The 13706-nt window shown below is 40.3% G+C and overlaps 1 protein-coding gene across 6 annotated transcripts in view, besides 3 other annotated features; it reads left to right on the top strand.

The window, feature by feature from the left end:
- UBE2W (ubiquitin conjugating enzyme E2 W) overlaps nt 1-13706 on the top strand; it is a 98767-nt gene that overhangs the window by 1178 nt on the left and 83883 nt on the right. The window contains exon 2 of one of the 6 annotated variants that reach the window (NM_001001481.4): nt 7384-7416. The exons of the other annotated variants lie outside the window; for them this stretch is intronic. Within the exon in view, the coding sequence (NP_001001481.3) occupies nt 7384-7416 (33 nt within the window). The remainder of the gene's footprint in view (nt 1-7383; nt 7417-13706) is intronic. 6 annotated transcript variants of the gene reach the window in all.
- Nucleotides 91-140: an enhancer, noted in NCBI's record as "active region_27534". NCBI's record gives its function as "activates an Ori minimal core promoter by ATAC-STARR-seq in GM12878 lymphoblastoid cells {active_cell/tissue: GM12878}" and the evidence as "EXISTENCE:reporter gene assay evidence [ECO:0000049][PMID:35858748]".
- Nucleotides 3932-4431: an enhancer, noted in NCBI's record as "H3K4me1 hESC enhancer chr8:74785489-74785988 (GRCh37/hg19 assembly coordinates)". NCBI's record gives its function as "activates a minimal SCP1, AML or CMV promoter by ChIP-STARR-seq in naive H9 embryonic stem cells {active_cell/tissue: H9 hESC(naive)}" and the evidence as "EXISTENCE:reporter gene assay evidence [ECO:0000049][PMID:30033119]".
- Nucleotides 5032-5191: an enhancer, noted in NCBI's record as "active region_27533". NCBI's record gives its function as "activates an Ori minimal core promoter by ATAC-STARR-seq in GM12878 lymphoblastoid cells {active_cell/tissue: GM12878}" and the evidence as "EXISTENCE:reporter gene assay evidence [ECO:0000049][PMID:35858748]".

Raw genomic sequence — 13706 nt, 5'->3', positions numbered from 1 at the left:
TTTCATAATATCCCCTTGGGTAAAGAGACCACATTTTCTTAGAAGTGTTTTTTGCTTTTGTTTCTGGAAGAAGCAAGTCTCTGTTCCTCCTCCATTTTTTTTTCTTTACTCTGCTAAAAGTGTTTTTCTTCCCTTTTCTGCATCTTCTTCCTCTTTTGTACAAATATAGCTTTGCTTCACATTTACTCCTGTGCTTTTATGTTATTCCCCTTTCAACCTGTTTTCCTTACAATATTCTCTTTACCTTGCTTCTCCCTCTGGACTTGCCTGCAGAACAGAAAAGTTTTATGTAACATTTCTAGTTGAAGAGATATCACGAATGGTGCAGGGAAAAAACAGGAACAATTTCAGGAAACATTATACTTTACACTAGTCTCCCCAGAGACGTTGGAGAAGTTTCGTCATTTGAGGCCAAAAAAGGAACAGTGGAATGCTAGTTGAACAGTAGATGCAATAGGCTACATTACCACTTAAAGATTTTTATCTGTGTTAAGATTAAAACATTTTTTATGACAAGTTTAAGATTATTATCTGTATTAAGATTAAAACATTATTTGAGGCTAAACATTAAGATTAAAATCCACAACACTTGTATTTGACAAGAGAACGTAGTGTGTCATCTCGTTAGATTTAGTATCTGGAAAAGGCAGATTTGTTTGTAAGAGAGAGGTTGGTAATCTTGAACTTGAACTTTACATGGTGTCTTTTTTCTTTTTTGAGATGGAGTTTCGCTCTTGTTGCCCAGGCTGGAGTGCAATGGGGCGATCTTGGCTCACCGCAGCCTCCACCTCCCGAGTTCAAGCGATTCTCCCACCTCAGCCTCCTGAGTAGCTGGGATTACAGGCATGAACCACCACGCCCAGCTAATTTTGTATTTCAGTAGAGACGGGGTTTCTTCATGTTGGTCAGGCTGGTCTTGAACTCCCGAACTCAGGTGATCCGCCTGCCTTGGCCTCCCAAAGTGCTGGGATTACAGGTGTGAGCCACCGTGCCTGGCCTACATGATGTCTTAAGAATTGGAAACAAATACTTGATTGACAGTGCAATAGTGCATTTTTCTGTGCCCTAAGTATTACTATCTCAGACTCTTACCACCCTTTTAAGTTTTTCCTTCACCTTGTTCCATCGAAATCTTATCACTCTCTATTCTTCTGTGTTTTCTGGTTAGAGGAATGGAAAACGGATGCTTCCTATATTTATTGAAAAGTCTTTCCCTTTTTATTTGTATTTTAAAATATCTAGTGCAGATTTGCTGGTAGTATCTTTAAGAATATTTTAATATATATGTCAAGCTTTTTGAAAGACAACCCTACTTTCTGTGTGGTTATTCTGTATCTTTGTTATACAGAATTTATATCCTGACTATCTTAATGGCAACATTTGGCTCTTTTAAGACAACTAGATTATACATAAATCTTCAATAAAATTATCAACTTTGTTTATTCACTGAGCCAGTTATCTTTTGGGGGACCTCTATGTGTCAGACACTTATCTAGTTGCTGTGGTTATAGCAATGAACAAAAGCAGACAAGATTTCTGCCCTCATGGATTTAATAATAAATAGTCTCATAAGAAGAGACAGATAAGAACAGCATATTTAAGTTAATTGTGTTTTGTTCTTGTTTTTTGTGTTGAGATGGAGTCTCGCTGTGTTGCTCAGGCTGGAGTGCAGTGATGCCATCTTGGCTCACTGCAACCTCCGCTCCCAGGGTTCTAGCAATTCTCCTACTCAGTCTCCTGAGTAGCTGGGATTACAGGCGCTGGCCACCACGCCCAGGTAATTTTTTTTGTGTTTTTAGTGGAGACTGGGTTTTGCCATGTTGGCCAGGCTGGTCTTGAACTCCTGACCTCAGGCGATCCACTCGCCTCGGCCTCCCAAAGTACTAGGATTACAGGTGTGAGCCACTGCACGCGGCCAAGTGTGTTATTATATTAGAAGGTGATAGTGCAGTGGAGAAAAAGCATGGAAGAAGACTAGGAAATTGATCATTTGGGGATTTCGATTAGGAAAAAATAAGCTGTAACATGGAATGACCATGTCCTTAACCCAAAAAGCTTTTAGTAGATTTATCTAACCCACACCAGGATGTTGCTGCTGCTGCTGAAGTTACTTAAGCTCTAAGAGGAACTGTATTTTTTTTAAAATGCCATATTATACAAATGTAACATGGGATTTCATTACTTGGTAATGAGTAAAACAAGTAAGGGTAGACTTTGAATTTCTTATTGGAGAGTATGTATTTTAAAGTTGAGCTAGTAACTGCTTTAATGTATTCTGTCAGTGCGTCTCAACCATCTTTTAGGTTCTGCCCACATAGAAAGTAAGTTTTGAATAGTACACTAAAGTAGATGAGATTGGGAGGCTAGAAGCACCTGGCAGGCAGCACCTCATGAAACTCCCGGGATGGGAGATCAATATTCTGGCACACCTGTAAATGCTGGGGACGCTCTACTCCCTAATATTGCTAGAGTTCTGCCATATACAATTCAAGATAGTGGTTTTCAGACTTATGTGATCCCTTTGAGACATTCTTTACTCATTTTCTTTTTTTCTTTTCCTTCCTATTGTTTCTTCCTAGAAAAAAGTAATGTATCACCAAGTAAGATTACAGTTAAATTATGTTTTAAGAAACCTTTTCTTTTTTGGAGACAGGGTCTCACTGTGTCACCCAGGCTGGAGTGCAGTGGCGCTGTCTCGGCTTGCTGCAGTTTCAACCTCCCTGGGCTCAAGTGATCTTTTCCATCTCAGCCTCCTGAGTAGCTGTGACTACAGGTTTTTGTATTTTGTAGAGACAGGTTTCACTATGTTGCCCAGGCTGGTCTGGAACTCCTGGGCTCAAGCAGTCACCTGCCTTGGCCTCCCCAAATCCTGGCATTACAGGCGTGAGCCTATGTGCCCAGTCTTAAGAAACCATCATTAAGAGAATGTTATATTTGTGGTGATACCTAAAATTGATAGGAGTTAAACAGATCTACATTTAATTTTGGTAATTCTAAAAATCTTTAAATATTACATGAAAAGTTTCTTGTAGCAAATTTTTAGTTTTAGCGTTTTAGGGACTGATTATTTGGTAGAAACTTTTATCCCCAAACTGCAGAAGCATTCTTTTATTGAAGTGAATTTTTATGTGATTCTAAACATTTTTGAAAGTGTAGCAGTATTGAGGTATTCTTTTCTCAGGTGAATCCTAAAATTGAATTTTTTGTTGTTGTTGTTAAATGCTTTTTTAAAATTTTATTTTATTTTATTTTTTTGAGACAGAGTCTCGCTGTCGCCCAGGCTGGAGTGCAGTGGTGCGATCTCGGCTCACTGCAGGCTCCAATCCCCGGGCTTCATGCCGTTCTCCTGCCTCAGTCTCCCGCGTAGCTGGGACTACAGGCGCCTGCCACCTCGCCCGGCTTATTTTTTGTATTTTTAGTAGAGACGGGGTTTCACTGTGTTAGCCAGGATGGTCTCCATCTCCTGACCTCGTGATCCGCCCGCCTCGGCCTCCCAAAGTGCTGGGATTACAGGCGTCAGCCACCGCGCCCGGCCGTGTTTTTAAATTTTATAACCTTTTTTCTTTCCTATGTATTATTTAATGTTATGAAGTACTTGACCTCCTGGATATAATTTCTGATTTTAGAATTTAACTGCTTCATTCAGACTTCTCGTAAGTTAGCAATTTTAACATATATGCTGTCTAATTTTCTAATTTGACATTCTAGAATTGTTAATTTTAGATAAAACCTCCTGTTACGTTGTGTCTTAAGATCTTAGAAAGTCAGTGCATAGTAGTTGATGTTTGTCAACTCTAAAAACAGTGATATAATTGAGAGAAATGGTCAGTTGAATTACCCTTGTGAAATTTCTGCATTTACTTCCTCTCTTACCTAGCTGGGTCTTAGACTGTTAACTGTCAATTTGTAGGGATGGAAGGAGGTTGAGATTTAATAACAGGAGATAAAGTATGAATGTGTGCTTATTTTCAGACTTAGAAATAATGCATTATTTTGGATTATTCACAGCTTTTAAAATTTTTTCTCTCTGAGACAGGGTCTCACTCTGTCACCCAGGCTAGAGTGCAGTGACGTGGTCTTGGCTCACTGCACCCTTGTCCTCCCAGGCTCGGGTGATCCTCCCACTTCAGACTCCCAAGCAGCTGGGACTATAGACACGCCACCATGCCTGGCTAATTTTTTTATTTTTTGTAGAGATGGGTTTTTTCCCTGTTGCTCAAGTTGGCCTTGAACTCCAGGACTCAGCCATCGGCCCACCTTGGCCTCCTAAAGTGCTGGGATTATTACAGGATGAGCCATTGCCCCCAGCCCACTGCTCTTTGCTCAAGTAATTGGCTATAGTGATTGAGAGAGATGGAACATGGACTCTTACAGACATTACTGTTGTAGTAGTCATGTTGCCTTGACAGTTAGATACGACGTCTGTTTGTTGATGTCAGTATGGAAGGGTTACAACATAATTAAAAGTTAGAAAATAGGCCAGCATGGTGGCTCAAGCCTGTAATCCCAGCACTTTGGGAGGCTGAGGTGAGTGGATCACCTGAGGTCAGGAGATCGAGACCAGCCCGGCCAACATGGTGAAACCTAGTCTCTACTAAAAATACAAAAAAAATTAGCCAGGCGTGGTAGAGCGCATCTGTAATCCCAGTTATTTGAGAGGCTGAGGCAGGAGAATCCCTTGGGCCCAGGAGGCGGAGGCGCCTTGCAGTGAGCGGAGATCATGCCACTGGACTCCAGCCTGGGCGACAGAGTGAGACTCCAGCTAAAACAAAAAAAAAAAAAAGGAAAAAAAAAAAGGATTATCTTTGAACAGTAAAAATTTACAATTATAATTTTACTCAGTACACAAGTATACACATGAGAACTTCTTTTTAAAATATGATACATAAAGTAACCTTGTGTTATAAACTCAGGAATATTTCTTCTTTTCTTTAGCTATAAAAACTATAAAGTAGTTTAGTAAATGCTTAATTCTTGACTGAAAAGTTACATAATTACACCAATGATTTCTCTGTGATGCCAAACTGTGTTCATTACTTACACCTTCACAGCATCAACAGATTTCAGAGCTTAGTTTCACTACTCAGTTACTGTGTAATTTTGAGTAAGTCACTTTCCAAATAAGTACATACTTACCAGCAGTTACTGCTATGTCTCTATTAGAATGAAATTAGGTTAGTTGACTTCCTTTTTTATAAAGAATATGAAGATACTATGAAGAACATTACAGTTATGGCAAACGCATGCAGCAAGAAAATAAGCCACTTTTTTGGTATATTATATAAATATGAATTTTAAATTATTCCTTTATAGGTACTGAACCTTACTATTGTAGAACTGCTTAATAGACTGACCTAAAATAGAATTAAACTAATGCAGAATTAGCTATTTAGGAATGCTTTTTGAAGTGTTAAGTAATGGACAAATATTTACGGTAGTCACTGTGTGCACATTTAAGGGATAGAGGGAAAGTATTTTTTCCTGCCTTAATGAAGCAGGAAATCTAAAGCAGAAAGTAATATCAGATTATCCTTCAAGGCTGGCCACCGCGCCTGGCCTTCAAAGATAATCTTCATTATCAAGGAGAGTTTTTAAGGTGGGATGATCCCAGCGTGGGACAAAAATTAGCTGGGTGTGGTAGCACATTCCTGTGGTCCCAGCTACTTGGGGGGCTGAGGTGGGAGGATCACCTGAGCTCAGGGAGTTCGAGGCTACAGTGAGCCAGGATTGTGCCACTCTACTCCAGCATGGGTGACAGAGTGAGACCCTGTCTCAAAAAATTTATATAAAAATAAAAAATAAAGTGCCGCTGCACTCCAGCGTGGGTGACAGAGTGAGACCCTGTCTCAAAAAGTATATATAAAAATAAAAAATAAAGGGATGATCTGGCATCTCTCTGAAAATATAGTTCTCCTTAGTATTTACCTAAATTAAGCATTTGTTAGATGAATTTTATTCCATCTTTATATTATTGCTGTCTGCTTCATTATGAGTAGTATCTGCAAAATACTTGTTCATGTTTGTCAGGTATTAAAGTGTCCTCATTTGAAAGCCTTTATTTGTGAATGTAGTTCTTGGATCACCAAAAAACAGCGCATGCTTTTGAGTTGTTTTATTCTAAGAAAATACTCTACTTTCATTTAGCTGCTTTTGTAAAACTTCATTAGAGATAAAGAACACAGGCTCTGTAATGAAAAGACCCAAATTCAGGTCCTGTTTCACTACTTTTTAAAAAGCTATATTGCACAGAAATCATTATGGAGTGTAGTGGGTAGACAAAAACAGATTAGCAGATAGATAAACATATAAAACTGCATTTTGTATTTATCTTACCCAAACTTGTTTTCTGTAGTACTCCCCATGTTGGTATATAGGCAACTTCATTCCATTTGCTCAGCCAGAAACCTTGGGTTCATTCCACCCTACAGTCAAACCATTAGCAAATTTCTATCTGCTCTGCTTTCAAAATATATCCAGAATTCAACTGATTTTCTGAATTCCTGATGTAAATACAGATGACATCCTCATTTCTTGCCTGGATTATATTAGCAGTGTCATACTGGTTTTCCTACTTCTGCCCTCATCCGTTTACTTATCTCTTTAGATTCCCAATAGATTCTTTCTAAACAAAAGTCATGTCATTTCATTCATAATCCTACTATGACTTCCCTCTCTTCCTCAGAATATAATCCAAAATCCATGTTATAGCCTAGGAGGTCTTAACCTCTCCCAGGTACTCATGTCTCTGTAGCCTTATTGTCCTCCTTGCTACTCCTGCTTGTTGTTTTCTCTATTTGGAATGCTCTTCTCACACATCTGGATGATCTGGATGGCTTCCTTTTTTTTTTTTTTTTTTTCTTTTCACTCATAGCTTTGTTCAAATATTTTTTTTTTAAGAGAGCCCTTCCTGACTACCCAATATAAAATAGCTCTCCCATCCCAGCGCTAATAATTTCCTTTACCTTGATAAATTCTTCATACCTTTGGCTATGTATTAATTAGCTTATTTTCTATTTTCTTGGATGTAACCTAGTGCCTGACATGTAGGAGAGTTCAGTAAATGTCGAATAAATGAATAAGTGAGCACAGCTTTTGGAATCAGATAACCTTGGGTTTGAATTCTAGTGTTGTTGTTTAATAGCTGTGTAACCTCCCACCTCCAAATATAAAATAGGGATGATAAAAACAGGTTATTTCATTTCCTGGATCTTTGGAATTGGTGAATTATCTTTTAATGCTATGTTTCCCATTTTAAGCTAGCTCTACTAGATGCTTTTGTCTTTTTTTTTTTTCTGATTTCTAGTCCCTGCACTAGCTATCAATGGAAAAAATAGATTTCCTTTATGACCATGTGTTACATGAGGTCTTTCTTTGTATTTTCAGACCACAGGAAGGAGGGTGGAAGTATGGTTTCCAGTAAGTGTGTGTTTTTTTGCCAATCCTCTTCAAAACTTGAGAATTAGTCAAATAAAATTGTGAGCTATTAAAGTCCATTTTGACATCCTTTTAATGCACAATTTTTTCTTCTAATTGAAATATAATCCACATATAAAACTTACCCTTTTAAAGTATACAGTTCAGTGGTTTTTAATCTGTTCAGAACCATCACTGCTGTTTGCAGAACATTTTCATCACCCCAGAAAGAAACTCCTTATCCATTAGCAGTCACTCCCTATTTCCCCCTTTCCCCAGTGTCTGGAAACCACTCATCTATTTTTTGTCTCTGGATTGGTCTATTCTGGGTATTTTGTGAGAGTGGAATTATATTATATATGACCTTTTGTGCCTGGCTTCTTTCACTTAGCTGTTTGTTTGAGACAGGTGAGACAGGGTCTCATTTTGTCACCCAGGCTGGAGTGCAGTGGCACAATAGGCTCACTGCAACCTCTGCCTCCTGGGTTCAAGTGATCCTCCTGCCTCAGCCTCCGTAATAGCTGGTACTACAGGCATGCACCACCATACCCAGCTAATTTTTGTAGTTTTTTTTTTCCCTGAGACAAGAGTCTTGCTCAGTCTCCCAGACTGGAGTGCAGTGGCACCATCTCGGCTCATTGCAACCTCCGTCTCCCAGGTTCAAGCAATTCTTCTGCTTCAGCCTCCCGAGTAGCTGGGACTGCAGGCGTGCGCCACCACACCCAGCTAATTTTTGTATTTTTAGTAGAGACGGGGTTTCACCATGTTGGCCAATCTGGTCTCTTACTTCTGACCTCAAGAGATCCACCTGTCTTGGCCTCTTAAAGTGCTGGGATTACAGGTGTGAGCCACTGTGCCCAGCTAATTTTTGTATTTTTGTAGAGACGGGGTTTAACCATGTTGGCCAGGCTGGTCTTGAACTCCTAGACCTTGTGATCCGCCCGCCTCGGCCTCACAAAGTGCTGGGATTACAGGCATGAGCCACTGTGCCCGGCCTTAAAAAAAGCTTTTATATAGACAGATTCACTGTGTTGCCGAGGCTGATCTTGAAACTCCCAGTCTCAGCACCCCTCCTGCCTAGGCTTCCCAAAGTGTTGCGATGACTGGCCTGAGCCACCATGCCCAGTTCATAATGTTTCTGAGGTTCATCCATGTTGTAGCTTGTATGAATACTTATTCCTTTTCGTAGCCAAGTAATGGCCCATTTTTTGGTTGTACTGCAGTTTATCCATTCACCAGTTATTTAAATATCAGATATTTGTGTTTCCTGTTTTCATTCATCAATGGATTAATTGACAGTTTGGATTGTTTCCCCTTTTTAGTATGAATAATGCTGTGAACATGTATGTACAAGTTTTTATGTAGGCTTGTGTTTTAATTTGTTTTTGTTAATATACCTTGCATGTAGGAGGACCTCAGTAAATGTTGAACAAATGGGTCATACAGTAACTCTGTGTTTTAACTTTCTAAGTCTATAGAGAAAAAACAATGATTTTTCTTATGTACTCGCCCACAACACTTGATTCTCCTTTTCTGACACCAGATATGTGGGTTTTTTTTTTTTTTTCACACCAAGCAATTTTTCAACACCAGCTGGGTGTTCTGCAGTTCATTTCTGGCACTAACCAGAGTTAAGGGCTCAGTCTCACAGGACTGGCCCCCACTTTAGACACCAGTCACAAGTTGTAGGTTCCCAGGTTACCCACGACTTGTGTCCGACTTGGCTACAAATTGGAGGTTCCCACAACCCCCTTCTTGGGTTCATTAATTTGCTAGATCAGCTCACAGAAACCGGGGAAGACAGTATACTCACAATTGCTAATGTATTATAAAGGATATTTTAAAGGATACAATTGAACAGACAGATGAAGCTATGCATATGTGAGGTTTGTAAGGGTCATGAACCCAGGAGCCTTTGGCCCCGTGGGGTATGTGGCTATGTTCTTATTCACCAATTCAAAAGCTCTCCAAACTCTCCTTTCGGGTTTTTACAAGGCTTCATTACTTAGGCATGATTGATTAAATCATTGGCTATTGGTGTTCCATTCAACCCTGAGCCCCCCCTTCTTCCCCAAAGATTGATGGGGTGGGGCTGAATGTTTCCACCCTCTAATCACATGGTTGGTTCCTTTGGCTGCCAGTCTCCCTTCTGAGGCTCTCCAGGAGCCCCCAGCCACCAGTCATGGTATTAACATATAAAAGGATATTTATAACTTCCAAGATTCCAAGGGTTTTAGGAGCTGGATGAAGATATATATTTCTTGTTGTAAATCGCAATACCACACTAAGGAATTGCCAAACTTTTCCACAGCAACTGCAGCATTATGCATTCCTGTGAGCACTGTGCAAGAACTCCAGTTTCTATGTTTGGCCAGTGTTTATTATGGTGGTTTTTTGATGATAGCATCCTAGTGTGAAGTGGCATCTCATTGTGGTTTTGGTTTGCATTTCACTAATGGCTAATGATGTATTAAGTGTCTTTTCTTGTGCATATTGGTATTTCGGTGGAGAAATATCTATGCAAATTTTTTGCCCAATAATTTTTTTTTTTTTTTTTTCTGAGACAGAGCCTCACTCCGTCACTCACGCTGGAGTGGCTGTGGCATGATCTTGGCTCACTGAAACCTTCACCTCCCAGGTTCAAGCGATTCTCCTGCCTCAGCCTCCTGAGTAGCTGGGAATACAGGCACGTGCTACCACGCCTGGCTAATTTTTTGTTTTTTGTTTTTTGTTTTTTTGAGACAGAGTCTCGCCCTGTTGCCAGACTGGAGTGCAGTGGCGTGATCTCGGCTCACTGCAACTTCTGCCTCCCAGGTTCAAGCGATTCTCCTGCTTCAGCCTCCCGAGTAGCTGGGACTACAGGCGTGTGCCACCATGCCCAGCTAATTTTTGTATTTTTAGTAGAGATGGGGTTTCACCGTGTTGGCCAGGATAGTCTCTATCTCTTGAGCTTGTGATCCGTCCGCCTCAGTCTCCCAAAGTGCTGGGATTACAGGCGTGAGCCACTGCACCCAGCCCTAGTTTTTATATTTTAGTAGAGATGGGGTTTTGCCATATTGGCCAGGCTGGTCTCGAACTCCTGGCCTTAAGTGATCCACCCACTGCAGCCTCCCAACATGCTGAGATCACAGGCGTGAGCCACCACACCTGGTCCTAAACAATTTGTCATTTCGTTGAATTATAAGAATTCTTTATATATTTAGACTACATGTCCTTTATTAGACATTATTTATTACATTCACAAAAATTTCCTCTTTTTTTTTTTTTTGGGACGGAGCCTCGCTCTGTCGCCAGGCTGGAGTGCGGTGGCGTGATCTCGGCTCACTGCAACCTCTGCCTCATGGGTTCAAGCGATTCTCCTGCCTCAGCCTCTTGAGTAGCTGGGACTACAGGTGCCTGCCACCACACCTAGCTGATTTTGGTCTCGATTTCCTGACCTTGTGATCTGCCCACCTCTGCCTCCCAAAGTGCTGGGATTACAGGCATGAGCCACCGCGCCCAGCCAATTTACTTTTTTTCTGTGGGCTGTTTTCATTTTCCGATAGTGTCATTTGAAGCACAAAAATTAATTTTGGCAAAATTTATGTTTTTTTCTTTGTTTATTTGGTGTCATATCTAAGAAATCATTGCCTAATCCAGGGGGTGATGGAGATTTGCATCTAAGTTTTTTTCCAAAAATATAATAATTCTGGCTTTTACATTTGGGTCTTTGATTCATTTTGAATTCATTTTTGCATATAATGTAGGGATTATTTAGTTTCATAGTATTAATATGGCAGCTTGTTTTCCATTTGAAGTTGTATAGGACCAAGCTGAGAGTCCATCAGGTTTGATAGTATCAAGTTGGATTCAGGTTACTTCTCTGGGTGAGTGGAGAGCTGTTCCTCAGATAAGAATTTATATTGCAGTCCTACTACTAAAAAATGTGATTGTAGTATAAAATATTGCTGAGTATATATATATATATATATATATATATATTTTTTTTTTTTTTTTTTTTTTTAGACCAAGTCTTGCTTTGTCACCAGGCTGGAGTGCAGTGGCACAATCTTGGGTCACTGCAACCTCCACCCCCCGGGTTCAAGCAATTCTCCTGCTTCAGCCTCCCGAATAGCTGGGATTACAGGCACGCGCTGCCACACCCGGCTAATTTTTGTATTTTTAGACGGGGTTTCACCATGTTGGCCAGGATGGTCTTGATCTCTTGACCTCATGATCCACCTGCCTTGGCCTTCCAAAGTGGTGGGATTACAGGCATGAGCCACTGCTCCTGGTCTGCTGAGAATATGTTTGTGTTCACCTATAAGCCTTTATTGTAATTAAAAGAGGCGTTATCAACTTCAGTCTTTAGACTTACAAAACCTTTGAGCCAGAGGGCATCTCAGGTGTTGTCTAGTATAACCACCTTGCCTTTTCTTTAAATATTGCTGCATTTTATGATTAGAGATAGTCCATAAGATAAAATTTAAAAAATTTTAAAATTAGAATAGTCTTTTGTACTACATGAAAGGAACATATATATATTAAGGAAATCGAGTAATAGGTTTTAAAAATATATAGAGAGATCTGATAAAAGAAAACTTGTTACATTCTTAGGAAAACCAATTTAAGGATTCTAGTAGAGAAAATTACCTTGTTGGGCATATTTTTTGTTCGTTTTGAGACAAGGTTTCACTCTCACCCAGGCTAGGGTATGCAGTAGTGCCGTCACGGCTCACTGCAGCCTTGGCCTCCTGGACCCAAGCGATTCTCCCACCTCAGCCTGCTGAGTAACTGAGACTACAGGTGCACACCACTACACCTGGCTAATTTTTGTATTTTTGGTAGAGATGAGTTTTGCCATGTTGCCTAGGCTGGTCTTGAACTCTTGGGCTCAAGCAGTCCTCCTGCCTCAGCCTCCCAAAGTGCTGGGGTTACAGACATAGAATTCATTTCTTTATAACAATTAGTTTAGGTTACCTTGATTGTTTCTATGGTCCGGCTTCATTATTCATGAGTTCCATATTTGTGAATTCACGTCTTCGTAACATTTGTTTGTAACCCTAAAATTGATACTCGCAGTGCTTTTTTTTTTTTTTTTTTTTTTTTTTTGACGTTTGCACACTTAAAGAGCAGTGAAGAATTTGTCATTCTATGCACACACTCCCAGCTGAGGTCAAACAAGACTTTTTGAGGTCTATTTTGTGCCACATTATTTCGCTTTTTTGTGCTTTTTGTTGGTAATTTCACTGTTTAACTTATGTGCTGTCTAGTGTTCCTTTGTATACGTGAAGGCTGTGCTGTGCCTTTTGGAGAAAATTTGTTCAGGCATGTGTTATAGTGCTTTTGGCTGTGAGTTTGATATTAATCAACAATATATAGTAAATAAGAGGCCAGGCATGGTGGCTCATTCGTGTAATCCCAGCACTTTGGGAGGCTGAGTTGGGTGGATCACTTGTCAGGAGTTTGAGACCAGCTTCAACATGACGAAACCTCATCTCTGCTAAAAATATCCCCTCAGCCCCCCCCGCCCCCCCCCCCCAAAAAAATTTGCTGGACATGGTGGCATGCACCTGTAATCCCAGCTACTCGGGAGGCTGAGGCAGGAGAATTGTTTGAACCCAGGAGGTGGAGGTTGGGTTGCAGTGAGCCAAGATCATGCCATTGCACTCCATCCTGGGCCATAGAGCGAGACTCTGTCTCAAAAAGAAAGTCTTTAGACAAATGCAAACAAGTTACTTTTGATTGGTTGAAGAAAATAATGTGACCAGAGGCTGGCAGGAATCTAACCCTGTATTTCCTCTAACCATGGATTCCATATTTACTTATTTAGTGTTTGCCACAACTTTGTAGAGAGCTTAACTACTGTGAATAATGAGAAATGACTGTATTTTAATTAAAAAAAATTTTTTTAGAGACAGTCTCACTCTGTCACCCGGTGCAGTGGCATGATCTTGTCTTTCTGCAACCTCCCAGGTTCAAGTGATTCTCGTGCCTTAGCCTTCCAAATAGTTGGGATTACAGTCATGTGCCACCATGCCTGGCTAATTTTTGTATTTTTAGTAGAGACGAGGTTTCGCCATGTTGGCCACGCTGGTCTTGAACTCCTGACCTCAAGCAATCTGCCTGTCTCAGCCTCCCAAAGTGCTGGGATTACAGGCGTGAGCCACTCTGCCCAGCTGTATTTTGATTTAAGTTTCAGTATACTTTTGATTTGGAAGTATTGAAGTCCTGTTAAAACTAGTAAAAGGTAATGTTGCTACATCCAGGTTTCTTGTTTGATTCTGCTTTCATTTTCTCATTTTCTACTGTAG

The sequence above is a fragment of the Homo sapiens genome, chromosome 8, assembly GCF_000001405.40.
Source record: "Homo sapiens chromosome 8, GRCh38.p14 Primary Assembly".
NCBI classification, from domain to species: domain Eukaryota; kingdom Metazoa; phylum Chordata; class Mammalia; order Primates; family Hominidae; genus Homo; species Homo sapiens.
The sequence above is the reverse complement of the archived record's forward strand: the minus strand, read 5'-3'. Positions and strand labels throughout refer to the sequence as shown.